Source organism: Homo sapiens, chromosome 5, assembly GCF_000001405.40.
Source record: "Homo sapiens chromosome 5, GRCh38.p14 Primary Assembly".
In the NCBI taxonomy this organism is placed as follows: domain Eukaryota; kingdom Metazoa; phylum Chordata; class Mammalia; order Primates; family Hominidae; genus Homo; species Homo sapiens.
This window is the reverse complement of record NC_000005.10, coordinates 141,165,627-141,186,809: the sequence shown is the minus strand read 5'-3', so window position 1 is coordinate 141,186,809 and position 21,183 is coordinate 141,165,627. Positions and strand designations below refer to the sequence as shown.

The 21,183-nt window shown below is 41.7% G+C and overlaps 3 protein-coding genes and 1 further gene across 3 annotated transcripts, besides 1 other annotated feature; all 4 read right to left on the bottom strand.

Annotated features, from left to right (window-relative positions):
* PCDHB@ (protocadherin beta cluster) overlaps positions 1-21,183 on the bottom strand; it is a 197,972-nt gene that overhangs the window by 62,556 nt on the left and 114,233 nt on the right.
* PCDHB16 (protocadherin beta 16) lies at positions 584-4,423 on the bottom strand. The gene has a single exon (NM_020957.4). The coding sequence runs from the start codon at positions 4,248-4,250 to the stop codon at positions 1,920-1,922; it is 2,331 nt and encodes a 776-aa protein (NP_066008.2). The 5' UTR covers positions 4,251-4,423; the 3' UTR covers positions 584-1,919.
* PCDHB8 (protocadherin beta 8) lies at positions 6,271-9,020 on the bottom strand. Its single transcript, NM_019120.5, has one exon. The coding sequence runs from the start codon at positions 8,773-8,775 to the stop codon at positions 6,370-6,372; it is 2,406 nt and encodes an 801-aa protein (NP_061993.3). The 5' UTR covers positions 8,776-9,020; the 3' UTR covers positions 6,271-6,369.
* On the bottom strand, positions 10,427-14,166 carry PCDHB7 (protocadherin beta 7). Its single transcript, NM_018940.4, has one exon. It carries the CDS (start codon positions 13,972-13,974, stop codon positions 11,593-11,595), a length of 2,382 nt encoding a protein of 793 aa, NP_061763.1. The 5' UTR covers positions 13,975-14,166; the 3' UTR covers positions 10,427-11,592.
* Positions 11,566-12,196: an enhancer, noted in NCBI's record as "H3K27ac-H3K4me1 hESC enhancer chr5:140554195-140554825 (GRCh37/hg19 assembly coordinates)". NCBI's record gives its function as "activates a minimal SCP1, AML or CMV promoter by ChIP-STARR-seq in primed H9 embryonic stem cells {active_cell/tissue: H9 hESC(primed)}" and the evidence as "EXISTENCE:reporter gene assay evidence [ECO:0000049][PMID:30033119]".

Here is a 21,183-nt window from a genome sequence, read left to right as displayed (position 1 = left end):
TAACAACAATAAAAAAAACTTGTTTCACATCTTCTTCAACAAATGTCTTCAAGATCTCAGATTGCCTAACTAGAATCACCGCTCTGTAGTCCAGAACCAAGCATTAGGCTGTCTTTCCATTGTGCTTCTCTAAAACTTACGCATACAACTATGTTTACTCTATAAATATTATTGCTTCTTGTTTCAGGCCAGTTTGCCCCTTCATCAATGTGTGAACTACTTGAGAACAACTATGTCTTAGTCATCTTTGGTTGGCAAATTAGCCACTCACTAAATGCTGGCTATATTAAGGCATGCATAAATAAACTAGTGAGTAGGACATGAAACAAAATTCAGTGCCTTTCGATCTCTGCCATTTGAAAATTGTTTTCTTTAATTTACTCATACTTTGCAATTTGTTTTTTTTTTTTCTTAGATTAGCTTTAAAGTAACTTGCAGAATTAAAGAAGGGACTGACCTTTATTTTCAAGTCCCTTTTAGTGGAAATCTAGTAGGCCCTAATTTCTCTGAACCAAATAAGCGGAGGTAAAGAACAGATCAAACTAACACCTATCCTAACACTATTGAAAGTGAAAACAAATTATTAAATCTGACTCACATAGAATTTTATTCAAAGGCCTAATATCTAGAAAGAAGCTCAACTTTACATATAATAAGCAAGAAATACAGATTAAACATAGGGATATTTTACAGAGAAAGGGCTAGATACCGCCAATGTATACTATGATGAATATAAAAGCCAAACCATGTAAATGTCTCTTTGATAAGTTTTTTTTCCAACTTAATGAGATTGAGTTGTTAGCCATTAAAAATATAACAGGGACCTCTGATTTTTTAATTCAGTAATAGAAAGAATAAATTATTAAATATTTTTACATAATACCTTTGCCTTTTGTCTACAAACACAAACACATTTACACATACTGAATGTCTTACAATGGCTTCTCTTTTTATTTTTAGATAAGGCTGGTTAAAGATTTCTCATATCACTTACAATAGGAATATTTTATTTTATTTAAGGAGATACCAATACAGGGAAAATAGAACTTTTTTTTTAAAGGTAACTTTACGAGACTCCATCTCAAAAAAATAAATAAATAAAACTTTGGATGGGCACATTGGCTTATGCCTGTAATCCCAGAATTTTGGGAGGCTGAGGAGGGAGGATGGCTTGAGCCCAGGAGTTCAAGATCAGCCTGGGCAACTTGGCAAAATCCCATCGCTGCAAAAGATTAGCCAGGCATGGTGGCATGCACCTATAGTCCAAGCTACTTGGGAGGCTGAGGTGGAAGGATCCGTTGGGCCCAGGAGGCAGAGGTTGCAGTGAGCCAAGATTGTACCACTGCACTCCAGCCTGGGTGACAAGAGTAAGACCCTGTCTCAAAAAGGAAAAAAAAAAAAAGAAAGAAAAGAAAAGAAAGAAAGAAACTTTAAGAAAAGTATTATAATGAAAATTGAGCCCAACAAAAATACCAATTTTGAAAGGAAAATAGACAAAAGAAATGTAACATAGGAAATATGCCTAATACATGCAACAGGTTATTTTAATACTTGAAGTTCTAGGAAACTGAGAAGTAACATGAAAAATGGAGCAAAAAATGAATAGGAAGTAAATAAAATATAAAGACGGAAAAATTTTAAATGACATCAACTTTGAAGATAAAGTATATTTTGTTAATTGGGATTCTATATGCAACACCTCTTCGGGGTAAATATGAGGAAAAGGGAAACTGGAATTAACAATATAATTTGAACTAACAATCAGAGAAAAATACCTTATTGGTGGTGGTGAGCATGAACAATTTAATCAACAAGACAATCATAAGAAGTTAAGGAATTTATCAAATGGGTTCCTATCAATAATTAAATCCAAAGCTATTGTGAAGGGTGGAATTTTAATCTATTTCTTTCCTAGTGCCCTAAGGAGAGAAGTTGGGGATAATCGGCTTCAGGAACTTGAACTCACTTGTTTCTGAGCCTCCTGTCAGACACACCTCGTATTGGTAGCTCTGGGACAGGGTCCCGGTGCCGCTTACGTCCACCAGACGCCCTGGAAAGGGGCCCTCAGGCATCGAGCAGCGGCCCACCGAGGCCGCCCTGCTCCTCCTGCACAGCCGCACCGCCACGAACAGGAGCACCGAAAAGAGGAAGAGCGACGACACCGAGGCCAACGCCACCACCAGGTAGACAGTGAGCGAGTTGGCCTGGGTCTGGCCGGGGGCCGCCTCTGGGAGCGGCAGGAAGGGCTGGGAGAAGCCGTCCACCAGGAGCACGTGCAGCGTGGCGGTGGCCGAGCGCGGAGGCTCGCCATTGTCCTTGACCAGCACCACCAGCCTCTGCTTGGCTGCGTCGCGCTCGCTCAGCAGCCTGGCGGTGCGCACCTCGCCATTGTGCGCCCACACACCGAACAGCCCGGGCTCCGTGGCCTTGAGCAGCTGGTACGACAGCCAGGCATTCTGGCCCGAGTCGCCGTCCACCGCCACCACCTTGGTCACCAGGTAGCCCGGCTCGGCCGCCCGGGGCACCAGCTCAGTGCAGGGCGCGGAGCCGTTCTGCAGCGGGTACAGCACGAAGGGCGAGTTGTCGTTGGCGTCCAGCACCAGCACGCGCACCAGCGCCTCTCTGCTCAGCGCGGGGGAGCCGCGGTCTGTGGCGCCCACGCGGAACTCGAAAGCCTGCAGGGCCTCGTAGTCCAGCGACCTGAGGGCGAACAGGTGGCCGTTGTCCGCGTTGATGGAGACCAGGGAGGCGAGGGGCAGGTGCGGGTCTTGGGGCGGCAGCAGCGAGTAGGTGACCTGGGCGTTGGTGCCCGAGTCTCTGTCTGTGGCGCTGACGCTGCCGATGTGCAGGGCGGGGCTGTTGTTCTCGCGGACGAACAGGGTGTAGGAGGTTTGGGTGAAAGTGGGGGCGTTATCATTGACATCTGATATCTGCACTGTTATGTTGTGCTCCGTTTTCAGCCTTGGAGTCCCCATATCTGTGACGGTGAGGGTGATATTATATTCAGCTCTTGCTTCTCTGTCGAGTGCTCTCTCCGTTACCAAGGTGTAAAAGTTCTTGACTGAAGGTTTTAGAAGAAAGGGAAGGTCTTCCTGGATGGAGGAAATCGTCTTCCCATTGTTTCCGGAGTCAGGATCTGAAACGCTGAAAACAGCAACTACTATCTCAGGCGAGTTCTCTGGGATGGGGCTGGTGAGTGCAGACATGGTCACCTGTGGGGGATTGTCATTCACGTCCACCACCTGCAGGAGAAGAGTGCACTTTCCTGAAAGACCTCCCCCATCTGTGGCTTTGATGCGCACTTCATAAGACGTAACCATTTCGAAATCTACTTGCTTTCTCAGTCGAACTTCCCCTGTCATAGGATTTACCTCCAAAGTTTTACTAATATCCTCCGAAGGCTGAAAGAGTGTGTATGATATTTTTCCATTGGCTCCGCCGTCTAAATCCCTGGCGGAGACGGTGGCAACCAGGGAGCCAAGAGGACTGTTCTCTGGAATCTGCACTTTGTAGATGGGCTGCTCAAACTCAGGAGCGTTATCATTGATGTCCACCACTTCAATACGGACCTGAGCAGTTCCAGATCGCGGTGGAGAGCCACCATCCAGCGCTGTCAGGGTTAATCTTAGTTGAGGCTCCTCCTCCCGATCCAGCTCTTTATCCAACACTAGCTCAGGGTATTTCCTGCCATCTCTGAATTCATGGATTAGAACCCGGAAATGAGAGCTTGGGCTGATTTTATAGTTTTGAACATTATTGCTTCCTACGTCCAAGTCCAAAGCATGATTCAGAGGGAACTCAGTTCCTAGAGGACTGTTTTCCGGTATTTTTAGAATCATTTCCTTTTCAGTGAACATGGGAGAATGGTCATTTATATCTATCACCCTCAGTTCAGCCTGAAATATTTCTAAAGGGTTTTCCATTAACACTTGGAAATGTAGTATGCAAGGCTCAGTGGGACCGCATAGCTCCTCTCGATCTAGCTTCTCATTTATGAGCAAATCCCCAGTTTGAGCCTTGAGCTGCAAATGCTGTTTGTTCCCCTGGGAAATGATCCTGGCCTTGCGGGTGGACATCTCTGTCAACCCCAACCCCAGGTCTTTTCCTAGATTTGCCACAAAAGAGCCTCTCTCCGTTTCTTCCACTACGGAATAGGACCCCAACTCGGCGCCCGCCCCAGACAAGCTCAGCAAAACAAAGAAAACAAGGACTTGCCTTTGTCTCCGATTGTGCATCCATCCAATCTCCATTGCTTTTTCTTGAAAAGTTGGTTCACAGAAGCTTCATGTATCCCCAGGATCCTAGTAGAACTGTTTTGCAGTCCAGAATGTCAGAACCAAGCAGCCCAACGGTGTCTTAAAGAGGTTTCACACTCACGTTCGCTCTGGCTCAGCTATTCTTCTGCTTCCAGGCTTTGGGAAACGGTTTGCTGGATCCTGGAGCTGCGTAGGCAGTTGTATTTTCCGTCATCTTAACCTGCAGCGCCACCACGCGTTCTCACTGAGTCTTTTACTGTGGTTGAATATTGGAGGCAAAATACTTCTAAATGTACTGAATAGACTATGTAATACAAAACACTGAGTTCTATTTTCATGTGACTTTCGTGTATACAGATGGAGCTCTGTGATGTTGTACAGGGAGGAGTACAAAGAGAAGACTGTCATTTATGTTATTGACTGTTTAATGCTGTTGAGATTAATGATTAAATAAAATTCAATGAACATTTAACCAGACATAGAATACACACTTAGAAGCAAAATTTTTCTGAAGTAACATGAGAACAGTTTCACAAGTACATCTTTTTCATGGTACCTATATAGACACTATGAGTAGACACTGCAAAATTGCAATCAGTGGTAGTTCTAAAGAGTATTTAACAATTGCTTTATTAAAGAATAAATTACTTCCTTTTCTTTCTGACACCTAACCCTGAGAAGTGTGAGTTTTTACAACTTTCAAGTTATTGGAAAATTCATTCCCAAACAAGCAAATCTCAAGGTTGGGTCTGCTACACTTTTGGATTCCCCCCACCCTTTTTTCATTTCAATGGCTTTTAATATATTCAGAGGTGTGCATCCGCCATCACAATTTTAGAACATTTTCATCTCAAGAGAAACCTTACCTCTTTTAATTATCACCGTACCCGTTCTCCCATCCCACTTATAAACATATGTGTGTGTGTGTGTGTGTGTGTGTGTGTGTGTGTGTGTGTGTAGGTTAACTGAAAAAGACTGAAGAAAGAGAATAAGAAATTCAAGAAATGAAACTATAGGTTAACTCTACTTCCTACTTAGACTCATTTCTTTAATAATGGATATGGCACGTAGAGAAAGTACAGGACTATAAATCAGGTTAATTCGCTCATCATAAAGTTCATTTGTAGTATCTGTCCCAGCATACTTAGAGCTTTGATAAGAACATGGGTATATTTGTGCAGAGTAGTATAAACAAACTATAAACTAAAACTTATATTTTCACATGAGAGTTTAGTTCATGGAGTAGGAGTAGGAATAACATAAATTTCACTTCCTTAGTTAGAAAAACAATGCTATCAGTTAATGCCTGACCATATAGCATATTGGCTAGACTTAGATTATATTTTAAATTTTTACCTTTATTATTTCAGAATTATAAGAAAGTTAATCGTTTTTTGTGGGGGGGAATGAGGTCTCACTCTGTCACCCAGCCTGGAGTGCAATGGCACAATCTTGGCTCACTGTAGTCTCTGTCTCCTGGGCTCAGGGGATCCTCTTACCTCAGCCTCCTGAGTAGCTGGGACTACAGGTTCGCAATCACACCTGGCTAATTTTTGTATTTTTGTTAGTGTCAGTGTTTTGCCCCATTGCCCAGGCTGGTCTCGAACTACTGAGCTCAAAGGGTTCAGCTTGCCTCAGCCTCTCAAAGTGTTATGATTACAGGTGTGAGCCACAGCTCACAGCCAAGTTACCTTTCTAAGCCTCAGTTTTCTCATATTTAAAAAAGGGGATAATATGTCAACTCCCTTAGGACTTGGGGAAACATTTAAAAGGCAATAAATGTAAAACATTCTCTACACCACTTTTAACTAAATTTTACCTAGATTAGAAATCAAAAAATAAAGGCTTAAAAAGATCAGTTACATTAATTTCTTCACTTCAGATCTGTGCATTTTACTATGTACATTTTAACAAAAATTGCACTGTTAAAGAATTATGATTAGAGTCCACTGGATATACTAATGAAGAGAAGATGAGATATCATTTTTTAAAACAGTGAAAACAAGACAAATACTATGGGCAAATGTAGTGTAATTTAAAATTTATGCTAAGTTGACAGAAAACCATTCCTTTGAATTGATCATAAAAATTAAAATATATAATATGAAATCAATTACTTTAACTGAAGGCTGAAACCAAAGCCATTCCTAAAGTTAGAGTTTTGTTCCATTTCTGGCCCAAAAGAATGGCCCTGAATATTAGGTAATACTGGTTTCAGGAGCTGGAACTCATTCGTCCCTGAGCCTCCTGCCAGGCACACCTCGTACTGATAGTTCTGAGACAGGCTCCCGGTGCCCCTCACGTCCACCAGATGCCCTGGAAAGGGGCCCTCAGGCACTGAGCAGCGACCCACCGAGGCCGCCCTGCTCCTCCTACACAGCAGCACCGCCACGAACAGGAGCACCGAGAAGAGGAAGAGCGAAGACACCGAGGCCAACGCCACCACCAGGTAGACGGTGAGAGAGTCGGCCTGGCCCTGGGCTGGGGCAGCCTCCGGAAGCGGCAGGTAGGGCTGGGAGAAGCCGTCCACCAGGAGCACGTGCAGCGTGGCGGTGGCCGAGCACGGAGGCTCGCCATTGTCCTTGACCAGCACCACCAGCCTCTGCTTGGCCGCGTCGCGCTCGCTCAGCAGCCTGGCGGTGCGCACCTCGCCATTGTGCGCCCACACACCGAACAGCCCGGGCTCCGTGGCCTTGAGCAGCTGGTACGACAGCCAGGCGTTCTGGCCCGAGTCGCCGTCCACCGCCACCACCTTGGTCACCAGGTAGCCCGGCTCGGCCGCCCGGGGCACCAGCTCGGTGCAGGGCGCGGAGCCATTCTGCAGCGGGTACAGCACGAAGGGCGAGTTGTCGTTGGCGTCCAGCACCAGCACGCGCACCAGCGCCTCGCTGCTCAAAGCCGGGGAGCCGCGGTCTGAAGCGCCCACCCGGAACTCGAACGCCTGCAGGGCCTCGTAGTCCAGCGACCTGAGGGCGAACAGGTGGCCGTTGTCTGTGTTGATGGAGACCAGGGAGGCGAGGGGCAGGTGCGGATCCTGGGGCGGCAGCAGCGAGTAGGTGACCTGGGCGTTGGTGCCCGAGTCTCTGTCTGTGGCGCTGACGCTGCCGATGTGCAGGGCGGGGCTGTTGTTCTCGCGGACGAACAGGGTGTAGGAGGTTTGGGTGAAGGCGGGGGCGTTGTCATTGACGTCCGACACCAGCACGGTCATATTGAGATGTGTTGTCAGCCTGGGTGTCCCTAAGTCAGTGACGGTGATAGTGACGTTGTACTCGGCTCTGCTTTCTCTGTCTAGTGGTGTCTCTGTTAGTAGGGTGTAAAAGTTCCCCACAGAAGATTTCAGGAGGAAGGGTAGATCCTCCTGAATGGAGCAACTTATTTTCCCATTTTCTCCTGAATCAAGGTCTGAAACACTGAAAAGTGCAACCACAGTTTCAGGCGCATTCTCAGGTATTGGGCTGGTAAATGCAGACATGGTAACTTCTGGGGCATGGTCGTTCACATCTATCACTTGAATCAGAACGGTGCATTTTCCAGAAAAGCCTCCAGCATCTCTCGCCTCGATATTGACTTCATAGGACTGAAATTTTTCGAAATCAAGTTGTTTCTTTAGTCGAATTTCTCCTGTCAAGAAATCGACCTTAAAAGTTTTGCTTATCTCATCTGAAGCTTGGAAAAGTGAATAGGAAATCTCTCCGTTGACTCCTGTGTCTACATCCGTGGCAGAGACCTTCACAACCAGGAAGCTTATTGGACTGTCCTCAGAGATCTGCACCCTATAGAAAGGCTGCTCAAATTCAGGGGCATTATCATTGACATCGACAACTTCAATGTAGACCTGAGCAGTGCCAGATCTGGGCGGAGAGCCACCATCCAGTGCTGTGAGTGTTAACCTGAGCTCAGCTTCTTCCTCTCGGTCCAGCGCTTTGTCCAGCACCAGCTCTGGGTATTTCCTGCCATCACTGCGTTTGCGGGTGAGGACCCGAAAATAGGAGTTGGGGCTGATTATATAGTTCTCAATATTGTTTTGGCCTATATCTAAGTCTTCAGCATTCTTCAGAGGAAACGCAGTCCCAGGAGGACTGCTCTCTGATACTTTCACCAACATTTGTTTGTCCAGAAATACTGGAGAGTGGTCGTTTATGTCTATTACTTGCAGCTCAGCTTGAAAAAACTCGAAGGGACTCTCTAGCAACACTTGGAAACGTAGCACACAGGGCTCTGTGTGACCGCACAGATCCTCACGGTCCAATTTCTCATTTAGCAACAAATCCGCGGTCTCCTGATTGAGCTGCAAATGTAGTTTGTTCCCTCTGGAAACAACCCTAACCCCCCGCCTGGAGAATTCCCTCTGCTCCAGACCCAGGTCCTTTGCTAAATTGGTGACAAAGGAGCTGCCCTCAGTTTCCTCCACCACAGAATAGCTTCTAGGTTCCGCCGCGCCCGCCAGAGATAAGCCCAAAAGGAGAAAGGAAAAAAGGACTTGCCTTTGTCTGCAAATGAGCTTCCCGCTGGCCTCCATTGTTCTTGCTGAATTCAGCTTCCTGGGAGGACGGTTCTGTGGGACTGTAAAGTCCCCAGTATCTGAGGCTGTGGTTTTCTACAGATACCTCAGAAATATGCCAGTGAGTAGTCCTCTCCAGAGGACCCAGCCGTCCTCCCTTTGGCATCCAAGCTCCCCGTGGACTTCCAGGTTCTGCTGCTTTTTGCCGGTTAATGGAGCTGCAGCTGCGGTTCTGGTTTGTGCCTTCTTATCCTGCAGCGCCACCACGGGTCCTCACAGGATCTTACATTTTGTGGGATGATAATAGATGTAATATTCCCAACTCTGCCTGTATGTACCCTGGGACTATGTAAAGTTACAACACCACGGTTAATATCGCCGGACGTTACTGAGCAGACAACTGCCCGAAGGAGAAATTGCGTTAGTCTTTCAACAATGCTAACTGAGTTTTGGGCAAAAAGGAAATATTTAGGTAACAGTCTAGCTTGGCAAAAAGAATTTCAAATATAATAGTAGTTAACATGGGCAACATTTAGATCTTTATAGTTTTATTTCCATGAACCATAGGAATAATTAGTAGCTGTGAACCTCGAACAAATTATTTAATCTCTCTGCTTTAATTTCCTCATCTGTAAAATGAGGATAATAATAGCACCTACCACATAGGGCTGTTGTGATTTCCCCACCTTACACATGAGGAAACTGATTCAAAGAGAGATTAAGCTTAAAAATAAACTATGTACCCGGTATATGGCAATTTGATACCACCAGGTAGGTGACTCTGCATAAATCCATTGCTATAACTAGAAAAACACCTCAAAATTACATGGTAGAATAGTACAGGAACATGACTATCTCAGGTAGAGAAGTTATGTCAAACAGTGAAGGTAAACAGGGAAAGGCTGGAGAGCTTGTCTAAATAGAGACAAAATGTGTAACAGCAGTGGTGATTTTATTTCTGGGGAAGCGTGTCCTTTTTTGTTACCTCTATTTCTCTTCTAATAGCATCAATTTTAAAAAGCTTTTATTTTGATATTTTTCATATCTCATAAAAGGAGAGGAGTAAAATTAACCTGCAATTACTCAGTACTAGCATCAACTATTATCAATGTCTTGCCATAATTCTTGACGCTATCCCTCCAACATCTTTACGTTCCAGACAAACTGAATTTTCACCCACAAATACTTCATTGTACATTTCTTTAAATGCATAATAACTTTAAGTGACTCTAAAAATACCCTTAAGTACAATGCCATTATTATACCTAAAAAATTCAGTTAATATTACTTAATACCCATCTATATTCAAACTCTTCCAAGTGTTTCAAAGTCATTGCTGATGTTTGAATGAAGATCCAGACAAGATCCACACATTACGTTTGATTGGTAGATCTCGTAAGATCTTTCCTACTGTAGACTTCTCTCCTCCTGTTTTTCATGCTATTTATTTGTTGGAGAAATTAGATAATTTTACCCTAAGACCATGAAAGCATTTTAAGATTTTACTGCTGTGAGGTTTTTTTGCCTCTAGATTCTATCCCACCAGTGATATATAGTAATACTACCTTTATTAGAGTTACCAGCACTAGTTTATAATATTTTCAGAATGCAACCATGCAAAAATTATCTAGATATTTTAAAAATAAAAATCAGTTGTAAATTTTTATAAAAAACAGTGCTTCTCCTTAACTTCCGAGAATTTCTAAAAATTTAATGATCATCTATGATTCTCTTTGATATTATGCATTTAAAACTAACTATTCTTTTTCTTAAATTTTCCTGATTCAATAGTGCACTATAATTAATAGAAAACTTTTAAAAACAAACTTTCAAATCAGGAAAATGTATTACAAATGTTAAGTATGGGTGACTGCAGAAAATCTACAATATGAAGAAAATAATTAACTAATGATGCAATCAAAATTATGTAATATTCCTACTCAGGACCATTAATCTTTTTTCTGGGAAATGAAAGTCATATGTTCTGAAGAAAGGAGAAGGCACAGGTTGCCCTTTCAATTTTGTTTTCCGCTTGAGTTTGGACAGATCAGAGCATTAGTAATAATAGTTGAAAATTGACCCAGAAAAGCAGGACTTTTGGTGTATAAGAAAATAAAACCATAGATAAATATGTACATTATTATTTCTAAATATAGAAAAGATTGGACAGCAGTATAAATATGATAAAAGACTTCTCCTTAATTAGGCAGAAACTTGCCAGGTGATATCTAATGACAGAAAACAGTATGGAATCGGAGCAGGGTCACTGACCCAGAGTCAGACAGATCTGGGATGGATGCTCAGTTTTGTCACTTATTAGTTAGTGGAACTTAGTGAACTTACTGAATCTCTAAGACCATCTATTTGTTCATTCCTAAAATACCATGCCTCATATGCTTCTTCTCAGATTAAAAGTGTTAAAATAGTGTATGATGCATTAAAAGCATTTTTTAAAAATGCTTAAAAAGATACTCTACAGTCTATGCTTCTGAGACTAGGGTAGGTACACTCATACAGCTTTCTAATCAACTCAGGAAGTCTCAGTAGAGATTGAAAACAATGGAAAGCAATTTAAAATATCTCAAACAAGACTTACATTTAATAGACTGTATATTAAGCATAATTGTTTGACATAAAACATTACACATATACATTTCATGCTTTGTGAAGGGTTCTTGATACTAAATCAGGATCCTATTTTATGTATAGAAATTTATTGCTTGACTTCAAGAGTACATATTTGAAATGATGTAAAGACACTCCCTTAAGGGAACCTCGCAATAAGTTCCTAATCAGAAACGTATTCACAGACGCGGATTTAGTTTACATTCTTTATCAGAAACCCAAATTATTCTGAAATGGGCGATTTTCTTCCACTTCCCTGCCTGTGCTCTGGGGTAGCAGGTTGGGGATAATTGGTTTCAGAAACTTGAACTCATTTGTCCCGGAGCCTCCAGTCAGGCACACCTCATACTGGTAGCTCTGGGATAGGGTCCCGGTGCCGCTCAAGTCCACCAGATGTCGTGGAAAGGGGCCCTCAGGCACCGAGCAGCGACCCACCGGGGCCGCCCTGCTCCTCCTGCACAGCCGCACCGCCACGAACAGGAGCACCGAGAGGAGGAAGAGCGAAGACACCGAGGCCAACGCCACCACCAGGTAGACGGTGAGCGAGTTGGCCTGGTCCGGGGCCGCCTCCGGGAGCCGCAGGTAGGGCTGGGAGAAGCCGTCCACCAGGAGCACGTGCAGCGTGGCGGTGGCCGAGCGCGGAGGCTCGCCATTGTCCTTGACCAGCACCACCAGCCTCTGCTTGGCTGCGTCGCGCTCGCTCAGCAGCCTGGCGGTACGCACCTCGCCATTGTGCGCCCACACGCCGAATAGCCCGGGCTCCGTGGCCTTGAGCAGCTGGTACGACAGCCAGGCGTTCTGGCCCGAGTCGCCGTCCACCGCCACCACCTTGGTCACCAGGTAGCCCGGCTCGGCCGCCCGGGGCAACGGCTCGGTGCAGGGCGCGGAGCTGTTCTGCAGCGGGTACAGCACGAAGGGCGAGTTGTCGTTGGCGTCCAGCACCAGCACGCGCACCAGCGCCTCGCTGCTCAGCGCGGGGGAGCCGCGGTCTGTGGCGCCCACGCGGAACTCGAACGCCTGCAGGGCCTCGTAGTCCAGGGACCTGAGGGCAAACAGGTGGCCGTTGTCCGCGTTGATGGAGACCAGGGAGGCGAGGGGCAGGTGCGGGTCCTGGGACGGCAGCAGGGAGTAGATGACCTGGGCGTTGGTGCCCGAGTCTCTGTCTGTGGCGCTGACACTGCCGATGGGCAGGGCGGGGCTGTTGTTCTCACGGACAAACAGGGTGTAGGAGGTTTGGGTGAAGGCGGGAGCGTTGTCATTGACGTCGGAGACCAGCACGGTTATGTTGTGCTCGGTTTTCAGCCTGGGTGTCCCCAAGTCGGTGACGGTGATGGTGATGTTGTACTCAGTGTTCCTCTCTCGATCCAAAGGTTTCTCTGTTACCAGAGTATAGAAGTTTTCGACAGATGGCTTCAGGATGAAGGGGACATCGTCCTGGATGGAGCACACTGTCTTTCCATTGTTCCCGGAATCTCTGTCTCTAATCCTAAAAACAGCCACGACTGTCTCGGGTGAGTTTTCTGCAATTGGGCTAGTAAGTGAAGACAGGAGCAGCTCGGGTCGATTATCGTTTATATCTGTTACATCAACCACTACAGTGCATTTTCCAGAAAGCCCGCCGCCGTCTTTGGCCTGAATAGTTAATGTGTAAGTTTGAATTGCCTCATAGTCCAATTGCGCTTTAAGATGAAGACTGCCAGATGTTGGATTGATTTGAAACGTTTTGAGAATTCTTTCAGTGGCGTAAGAAAATGCATAGGCTATTTCCCCATTACTTCCGGTATCTAAATCTCTGGCTGACACGGAGACAACCATGGAACCAACGGGGCTATTTTCGGGCACCTGCACCTTGTAGAGCGACCGCACAAAATCAGGGGCGTTGTCATTTACGTCTAGAACCAGAATGCGCACGAGGGCGGTCCCTGATCTTGGAGGAGAGCCGCCGTCTAAAGCGGTGAGGGTTAAACTGAACTCTGGTATCTCTTCCCGATCCAGCACTTGATTCAGCACCAATTCGGGATAGATATTCCCCTCCCCGCTATCATGGACATTAATATGGAAATAGGCATTGGGGCTGATGGTGTAGTTACTCAGGCTGTTGGTTCCAACATCTGAATCCTGTGCACTCTCTAGGAGAAATGCCGCCCCTGGAGTGGTACTTTCTAATATTTTCAAGGAAATCTCTCTGTCTAGAAATACTGGAGCGTGATCATTGATGTCTCTGACCCATAGTTCAGCACGGAAAATCTGAAAAGGTTTTTCCAATAACAACTGGAAAGGCAGCACACAGGGCTCTCTGGGGCCACACAGTTCCTCTCGGTCCAATTTCTCATTTAGAAGTAGATCACCAGTAAGCGAACTGAGCAGTAAAATTTGCATGTTCTGGTCTGAAACAATTCTAGTTCCCCGGGCTCTCAGTTCCCCTACCCCTAACCCTAGGTCTTTTGCCAAGTTGGTAAGAAAGGTGCCTCTCTCGGTTTCCTCCGCCACAAAATACCGAAGCGGTTCGGCGCCAGCCCAAGACATTCCCAGAAATACACAAAGAAATAAGACTTGCCTTTTCTGCACAGCACGCTCCACTCTGGCCTCCATTCTTCTTTGGATCAGTCTTTCAAAATGACTTTCACTCAGCCTCCAGCGGCTCTCACAAATGGCAGCAGCGGAATCCTTTGAAATGAGCTGAATAATAGCAATGTTTGTGGGGAAGGATCCTCATTTTACCCCAATTCCTATTACCACTGTTTCCTTTCCTATGCTTTTCTCTTCAGATTGCCTCTTTGCTCTGGAATCTGTAACATCCTTTCTTTGTGAAATTATTTTTCTCTCTCTCTTTTTAGCCAGCAGCGCCACCTTGCGTTTTGTGGATGTTATTCCCGTTATCAAGACTAGAACAAAAAGATGGCGGATTGAAGGAATTCTGCAACAAGAATGATTTGTCCCCGGTATCTTTGCTGTTTCATTCCATCTTTATCCTCAAATGGTCACAGTAATGCTAGTAAGTAATAGCTGATGTCGTTTTCCCCTGTGATAATCTGGATTCGTAGAAGAATTAATTTATAGTCTTCTTAAATCTAGGAGCATGAAACTAAACTCTGACTCCCCACCGAAATCCTAAGAAAATCTCCTATTTTAAAAATGGATAGTAAAAATATATATGAGAAAATGAAACCTCCTCCTTGAAGTCAACAAATATTGGTTGGGGACATTTTATTTATTTGTAAAGTATTTAACAATAATAATGTGAATATGGCAGAATAATTGACCCTTTTCCCAATTTCTTGTGAATTAAACAATTATTCCACTTTCCAGGTCTTAACTCTTTACCTGTGATATTTCTTGGAACACTTTATGCCTCCCCCAAACCCAACCTTCATCCTTCACCTGATTTAAGTATTACATAAGAAATTATTGTTCCTCTATAATTTCAGTGACTAGAATCTCCAATGTCCAATGAATACTCTTAAAATTAGTAGTAGCAAGTTGGTCAATCTTGCATTTGTGGAAGTGCTTCTAGCATTTCATCTTCAACTATGATGGTTGATCTCAATTTGGGGTAAATATTCCTTTTTTGAATCAATAAAGTTTTCTTTTTATTCTTTCATATTTTGAAGTGATTTTTGATAGCTGTTGAAATAATACATTTATTCTTTAGTTTCTAAATTACTGAGTTATTGATATAAATGACATTTAACCATAATGTATTATTGTTTTAGTGCACAGATAGATATGATGTGTCAACATGGTTTTAGGATTTTTCTAGTTAATGTTGTTTACCTAGTGCGTGTTTGCCTTTTATGGCCTTGGTATTAAACTATTATACTGGCATCATAGAATGTGTTAGGGAGCTTTTTATCTATTTTATACAATAGTTTTAATAATTATATTATTATATGTTTCTACATGCTTAATTCCAGCTTGTCTTTTAAACTGGTTGGGTTTGGTGACTTCACTTGCAGTAGATCAGTGACTACCATTTACATTTTACCTTTGGTTATTAATCTGTTCAGGTTTTGTATTTTTAAGTAACTTGCATTTTATTTTGAAAATCATTTTATCTAGTTTGCAAATTTCTTGGAATTGTTTTCATTGCGTTATTTACCTTTAATTGTATCCCTATTTTTATTAGTGATGTTTAGCATTTTAACTCCTTTTTATTCTTGGTGAGACTTGCAAGAGCTCTACTTTACTGATATTTTGAAATGCATTTTTTTCAAAATAATATATGACCTTGGTCCAAAATTAAATAGCACTAAGAGGCTTGTTCTGCCCTTTTCCTCCTCACTTTTCTTAGTTCCCCTTCTAAGAGGTAGCCATTTTAAAACTCTTTTAGTTATCTCTTCAGTCACTAATCTGTTTTCTGATATATTTTGATTAATTAATTTTAGAAATTATCAATTGACTGTTTATTATGTTAGATTACATTTTAGGTATTTTAGATTTTCTTTTACTTACCATATATTGGGAACATTATTGTGTATTAATTATGTTTTCTTTTTCAATTTTTTTGTGATTTTAATAATTATCTTGCCTTTTCATTTACTTGATTTTTTTTATCCCTATCACTTATTCATCCCACAGATACAATTGCCTGTCAGTGCAATTTTCCCCATAGTCATTTCCATTCCTCCTGAGACTTCAATTTTTCTTTAAATTGGGTGGTTGCTTTCTGTGCCTACTGCACAGCTATCATTCTGGATTTTTTTCTTTGCTGTCATTCTTGGAATTCTTTGCCTTTTATTCTGGATGTGTTTGCTATTTCTGGGATTTTATAACTTGCCCTTTTTCAGTTTACTCTATGGCATTACTAGAACACATCCTCCAATAGGTTCATATGATTGAAAAGATGATACAATGTTAAGAGGATTGCTAATGATATCCTTCAAAATCTCTGTCTCTTGAGTCAAACAGCTCCTTACTGGACTAGTTGTTCATTATGCTCAGTTGTCATCCTTGGATCATCCTTCAGCATCACCTGGAGATTCATTTCACTTCTGTCCTGTTTTGGATCTTCTAGTTTCTGTTTCTTCTGTCTTCTCCTGTCTTGAATTAGGTTCTCATTTTGATAGATACCTTCCAGTAGTTTTCGGAGAAGGGTGTTTCAGAGTTAAATGTTTTTGTGATCTTAAATGTACTAAGATGTCTTTATTCTACCCTCAAACTTGATTAGTAGTTTGACTAAATATAGAGTTTTAGGTTGAAAATAATTTTTCTTCTGAATTTTTGTTTTGTCAATGAGCTTTCCAAACCAATCTGTTTGCAAAGAAGTCTAAAGCTAATCTTATTTCTTATCTTCCATATGTGACCTATATTTTTATTTTTTGTTATAGTGTTTTTTCATTGTCCCAAGCACTTTAAAATTAAACAATTGTATGTTTTGGTTTGGGGTTATTTTCCATCCATTGCACAGTATAATTGATGAGACATTTCATCTAGAAAACTAATTTTCTCCTGCTCTTAGAAATCTCTTTAAACTATTTCATTTATAATCCAACTCCCATTTCATTTTTAGAATTTCTGTAATTCAGATGTTAGACTTCTGGTATGGTTCTCTAATTTCTTTATTTTTTTTCTCTCCTACTTGCCATTGTAAAATATTTTTGCAGTATTTTCTAGAACATTTTCTGAACTTTATCTTCGAGCCCTTATATTGAGATTTTTATTTCTTTATTAGGTTAGTATTTTCCTAGACTTGTCTCTTCTATTTAAAGAGCTCTCTTTTGGGCTTATTTCTTAGATGCAATAACTTCTTTTTTCATCTGATGATATTAATAATCGCTTTTCCACCAAGTTTTCTTCTTGCTGCAGACTTTCCATTTTCTCCAAGTTACCTTTTTACTCTTTGCTTTTCTTTAACTTCTGTATGCCTTTTCAGAAACTTTCTTCACGTGTTTGTTCTTAATTTAGTTTGGGAGACTACAGAGCTGAGTGATGGCTCTGAGTAGTTTGATAATTCTTGTCCACCTTGATTTTTCATTCTAAAGTGAACTGGGAGCACTGATGGATGGGGAAACCTCAGTGTCAGTGTGATTAGGTCTTTCCGGTTGGACTGGCCAGATTACCACACTCTTTGAAATCCCCTATCCAAAAGGAAAAGATATAGATTGAAAAAGGTGAAGGATTAAGTGGGTGAAGAGGAGTACAGTTTTGCATCAGGATAGGCTAAATTATGTTTCAATACCAAACAACTTGCCCAAATCTCAACAGCTTAACACAATGAAAGTTGATTTCTTCCATCCTGGCTAACACAGTGAAATCCCGTCTCTACTAAAAATACAAAAAACTAGCCAGGTGTGGTGGCGGGCGCCTGTAGTCCCAGCTACTTGGGAGGCTGAGGCCGGAGAATGGTGTGAACCGGGGAGGTGGAGCTTGCAGTGAGCCGAGATCGTGCCACTGCACTCCAGCCTGGACGGAGCGAGACTCCGTCTCAAAAAAAAAAAAAAAAAAAAGAAAGAAAGTTGATTTCTTTCTTATACTATATATCCTATATAGTTCAGCCTGGGGCCCTCCTCACAGCAGTCAGTCAAGGATCTAAACTTGTGGAGATTCCATCTTCACATATACTTCCGTGATCACTGTAGTGGGAAAAGAAAATGTGTTAAACCGTGCCTCCAAAAACTTCAGCCCAGAATGGATATATGTCACTTCTCACATTTTATTAGCCAAAGGAAATTACATGGCTACACATAATTTTAAACAGAAATAGAATTGAAATTCTACCATATGTCCAAGAAGGGGAGAACCAAAATATTTGTGATTGGTTCAAATGACTATCACAGCATTTTAACAATCAACCAGAATTCAATATTTAGATGGTTACTTACTTTTGCTACCCATATTACCCATGACCTCCATTTTGTTGGCAGAACCTCTCATATAATAACCCTCCTTTTTGCGCTCTTCAGAAAATAAAACTCCAGACTTATGTTAGGGTCAAGGGGGTAGGTAGGTTACTCAGTGACTGGAATGGGGAAATGTGATCTAACTGCTAGAGATTTAACTGCTTTACAGGAATCTTTAACACAATCCTTCTTATTTGGCATGAGGAACTAGGATTGACATTTCAGATGCCTCTATATGTCCCACCATCTAAACAGAATTTATTCTAGTCCCACAGTCTGAACAGGATCGATTCTCAGCTCTTCCCACTTCATGACTGGTAGTTGATTTGTCAGGTCTACTAAATCATTCATCTGTTTTCCAGCTTCTAAGAGTTTTCCCTGTTGTCTTCTACATTATTCTCTTCATCCTTATTAAGTTTATGTTTCTGAAAATATATGTTCATGTTTTCTTAGTGCATTTTTAGAGGGAGCCAAATGAAAGGTGCATGTCTCCTACATCAATTATATATAGAACCTAAAATATCCTTGGCTTTTTCAAAGAAATCACTTTTTGTTTAATTGGTCAAATATTATGTGGTTTTATTCTATTTAATCAATTTTTGCTTTTATATTTTTAATTCATTCCTCTTATTTTCCTTATTTTTAAAAATTCTTGTTTTGATTCTTGAGTCATTTACTTTGTCCCTTTTTTCTCAATAAACCTTGATTTCTAAAATATGCATGTAAGTCTTACATTTTTCTCTATTTACCCTTATACTCTTACCTTAAATATCACTTTATTAAAGAAACTTCTTATATCAGCTAGAATTATATTCTATATAACTTATAGATCTATGTTCTATATCAATTTAGCTTGAAGTTACAGATAAAGCCATAATAACAGTGACTTAAACAAAATATAAAAGAAGGCTAGTGGCTGAAAATGCACTCCATGATATCTGGGACCCAGTCTCATTCCATCATTGATTTGCTATCTTCAGGACATGGCCTTTACTTCATTGTCCAATGTAGCTGCCTAATAAGCAGTCATTACATCCGCATTCATGCCAACAAAAAGAGGAAGGAAAGGGTGTGCTTTCATTTTTTAAAAAGATTATCTCCATAAGGTACTCCATGGCACTTGTGCTTTTATCTCACGGTCTACAATTTAGTTACAAGATGACACCTGGCTGCAAGAGAGGTTGAAGAATATAATCCATAGCTCACATACGTACATAAGCAGCTAAAATCAGATGTATAAATAAGGGGAGAATGTATATTTGGGTTAAAGTAGCCATCTATATCACACCCACTTAGACCTGACCTATTGCCCCAACTGCCCACTAGGAACAGATAGGGTCAAAAAAGTTATCCAATTCAGAGCAGTTATTAAAGGAACATACGACTGTCTCTCTCCATATTGGCAGTGTGGCTTGTAGCCAAAAGAATTATTGTTCCACTGAAAGCTAAGCCCAGGAAGCAGTAGAGAAATTAATTCAAGTGCTAGGACAAGGCCTTTTGAACAATGTTTCCCCAGTGTGCTATTGTAATATGCCATCCATTCCTACTTCATTTTATAAATTTTTTAAAAATTCAGGGTCTAGAAAGCTTAAAACTCCATTTTCCAGACTTCTTAGAATTATTATTCTGGATGTAAATTAGGTTTTGCCAATGAGATTCCTTCACGTGAGCCTTAGAATACAGGCAAAGGTGGTCTTCCACTGTTCACCAATAAGGTCAGAAAGATATGAATGCTTGCAGCCAAGTCAGCATTCCTCTGTCTAGCCATCACCTTCTTAGGGAACTGGAGACCACTGTGGCATCCAGACACTCTGTGCCAGTGTGCAGCCATCAGTTTTGGAGGTGGGAGAGGGCACTGTGGGAGCAACAGTTTTGGTAGTAGTAGTAGCATCAGCTTCCTGATTCCTGTGCTGCAGCTGTGGTCACATGCCTTCAAAACCATTTCAGTGCTGACTCTCTTACTTCTGCTTGTCCATTTCTTCCAGTGATTTTATATAAGCATCTAAGTCCTTGTAGCTGATATCTTTTTTGGTTTTGGTTAGAGACACACAGAGTGGTTGTTGGTTTTTTGTCCTGAACTCTGAATAATTCATCCAAATTCAAAATTTTATTCCTTCACTCAAATTATAAGTAATAGGGGCCTCTCGATTAGAGTTTGTAAAAGAAAAAAACTGTAAAACATAAAATCATCAAGGCTTTAAGGCACTAGTCCCTTAATCTAACACAACTTAGTTTAAGAATAGGGGAGAATAAAAAATTTCAGATGTACTCGTGAGAGACTAAGGATAAAAGTGTTTGATAAATTTGATGTATATCTTTTTTAAAAAGCAGAACATGGTCTGAAGGCGAATAAAAATCTTTCATCCTCCCTTCATGTGTAACACAATAAGTCAAAATTTGTTTTAAAAATGTGTTATTTGTAAAGAAATAAGAAAGGGCTCAACATCATGTTATAAATTTTAAAAAATGAAAGCTGGGTCACATATTTTAAATGACATATTGTTAGGTGAACAAAGCAAGTATCAAATACTGTAAATAATAAATGGGCATTTTATAAAAAAGAAATAAAATATTTTGTTATCATGTTTAGGCTTACTAAGCCAGATAAAATAACAGACTGAAATTTATTTATTGCTTTATTCAACACTCATTCACCTATATTTATTTCAATACAGCCACGTGCTGCATAACGACATTTGGTCAACCATGGATGGCATATACAATGGTGGTCCTGTAAGATCATAATGGAGCTGAAAAATTTTTATTGCCTAGTGATGCCATACCTATAGTAATGTCATAGTGCAATGCATTATCTGTTCTATGTTTAGATACACAAACACTAACCATTGTGTTATAATTGTCTACAGTAGTCAGTAGAGTAACATGATATACAGGTTTGCAGCCTAGGAACAATAGGCTATACTGGGTATCCCAGGTGTGTATAGTAGGCTACGTTATCTGG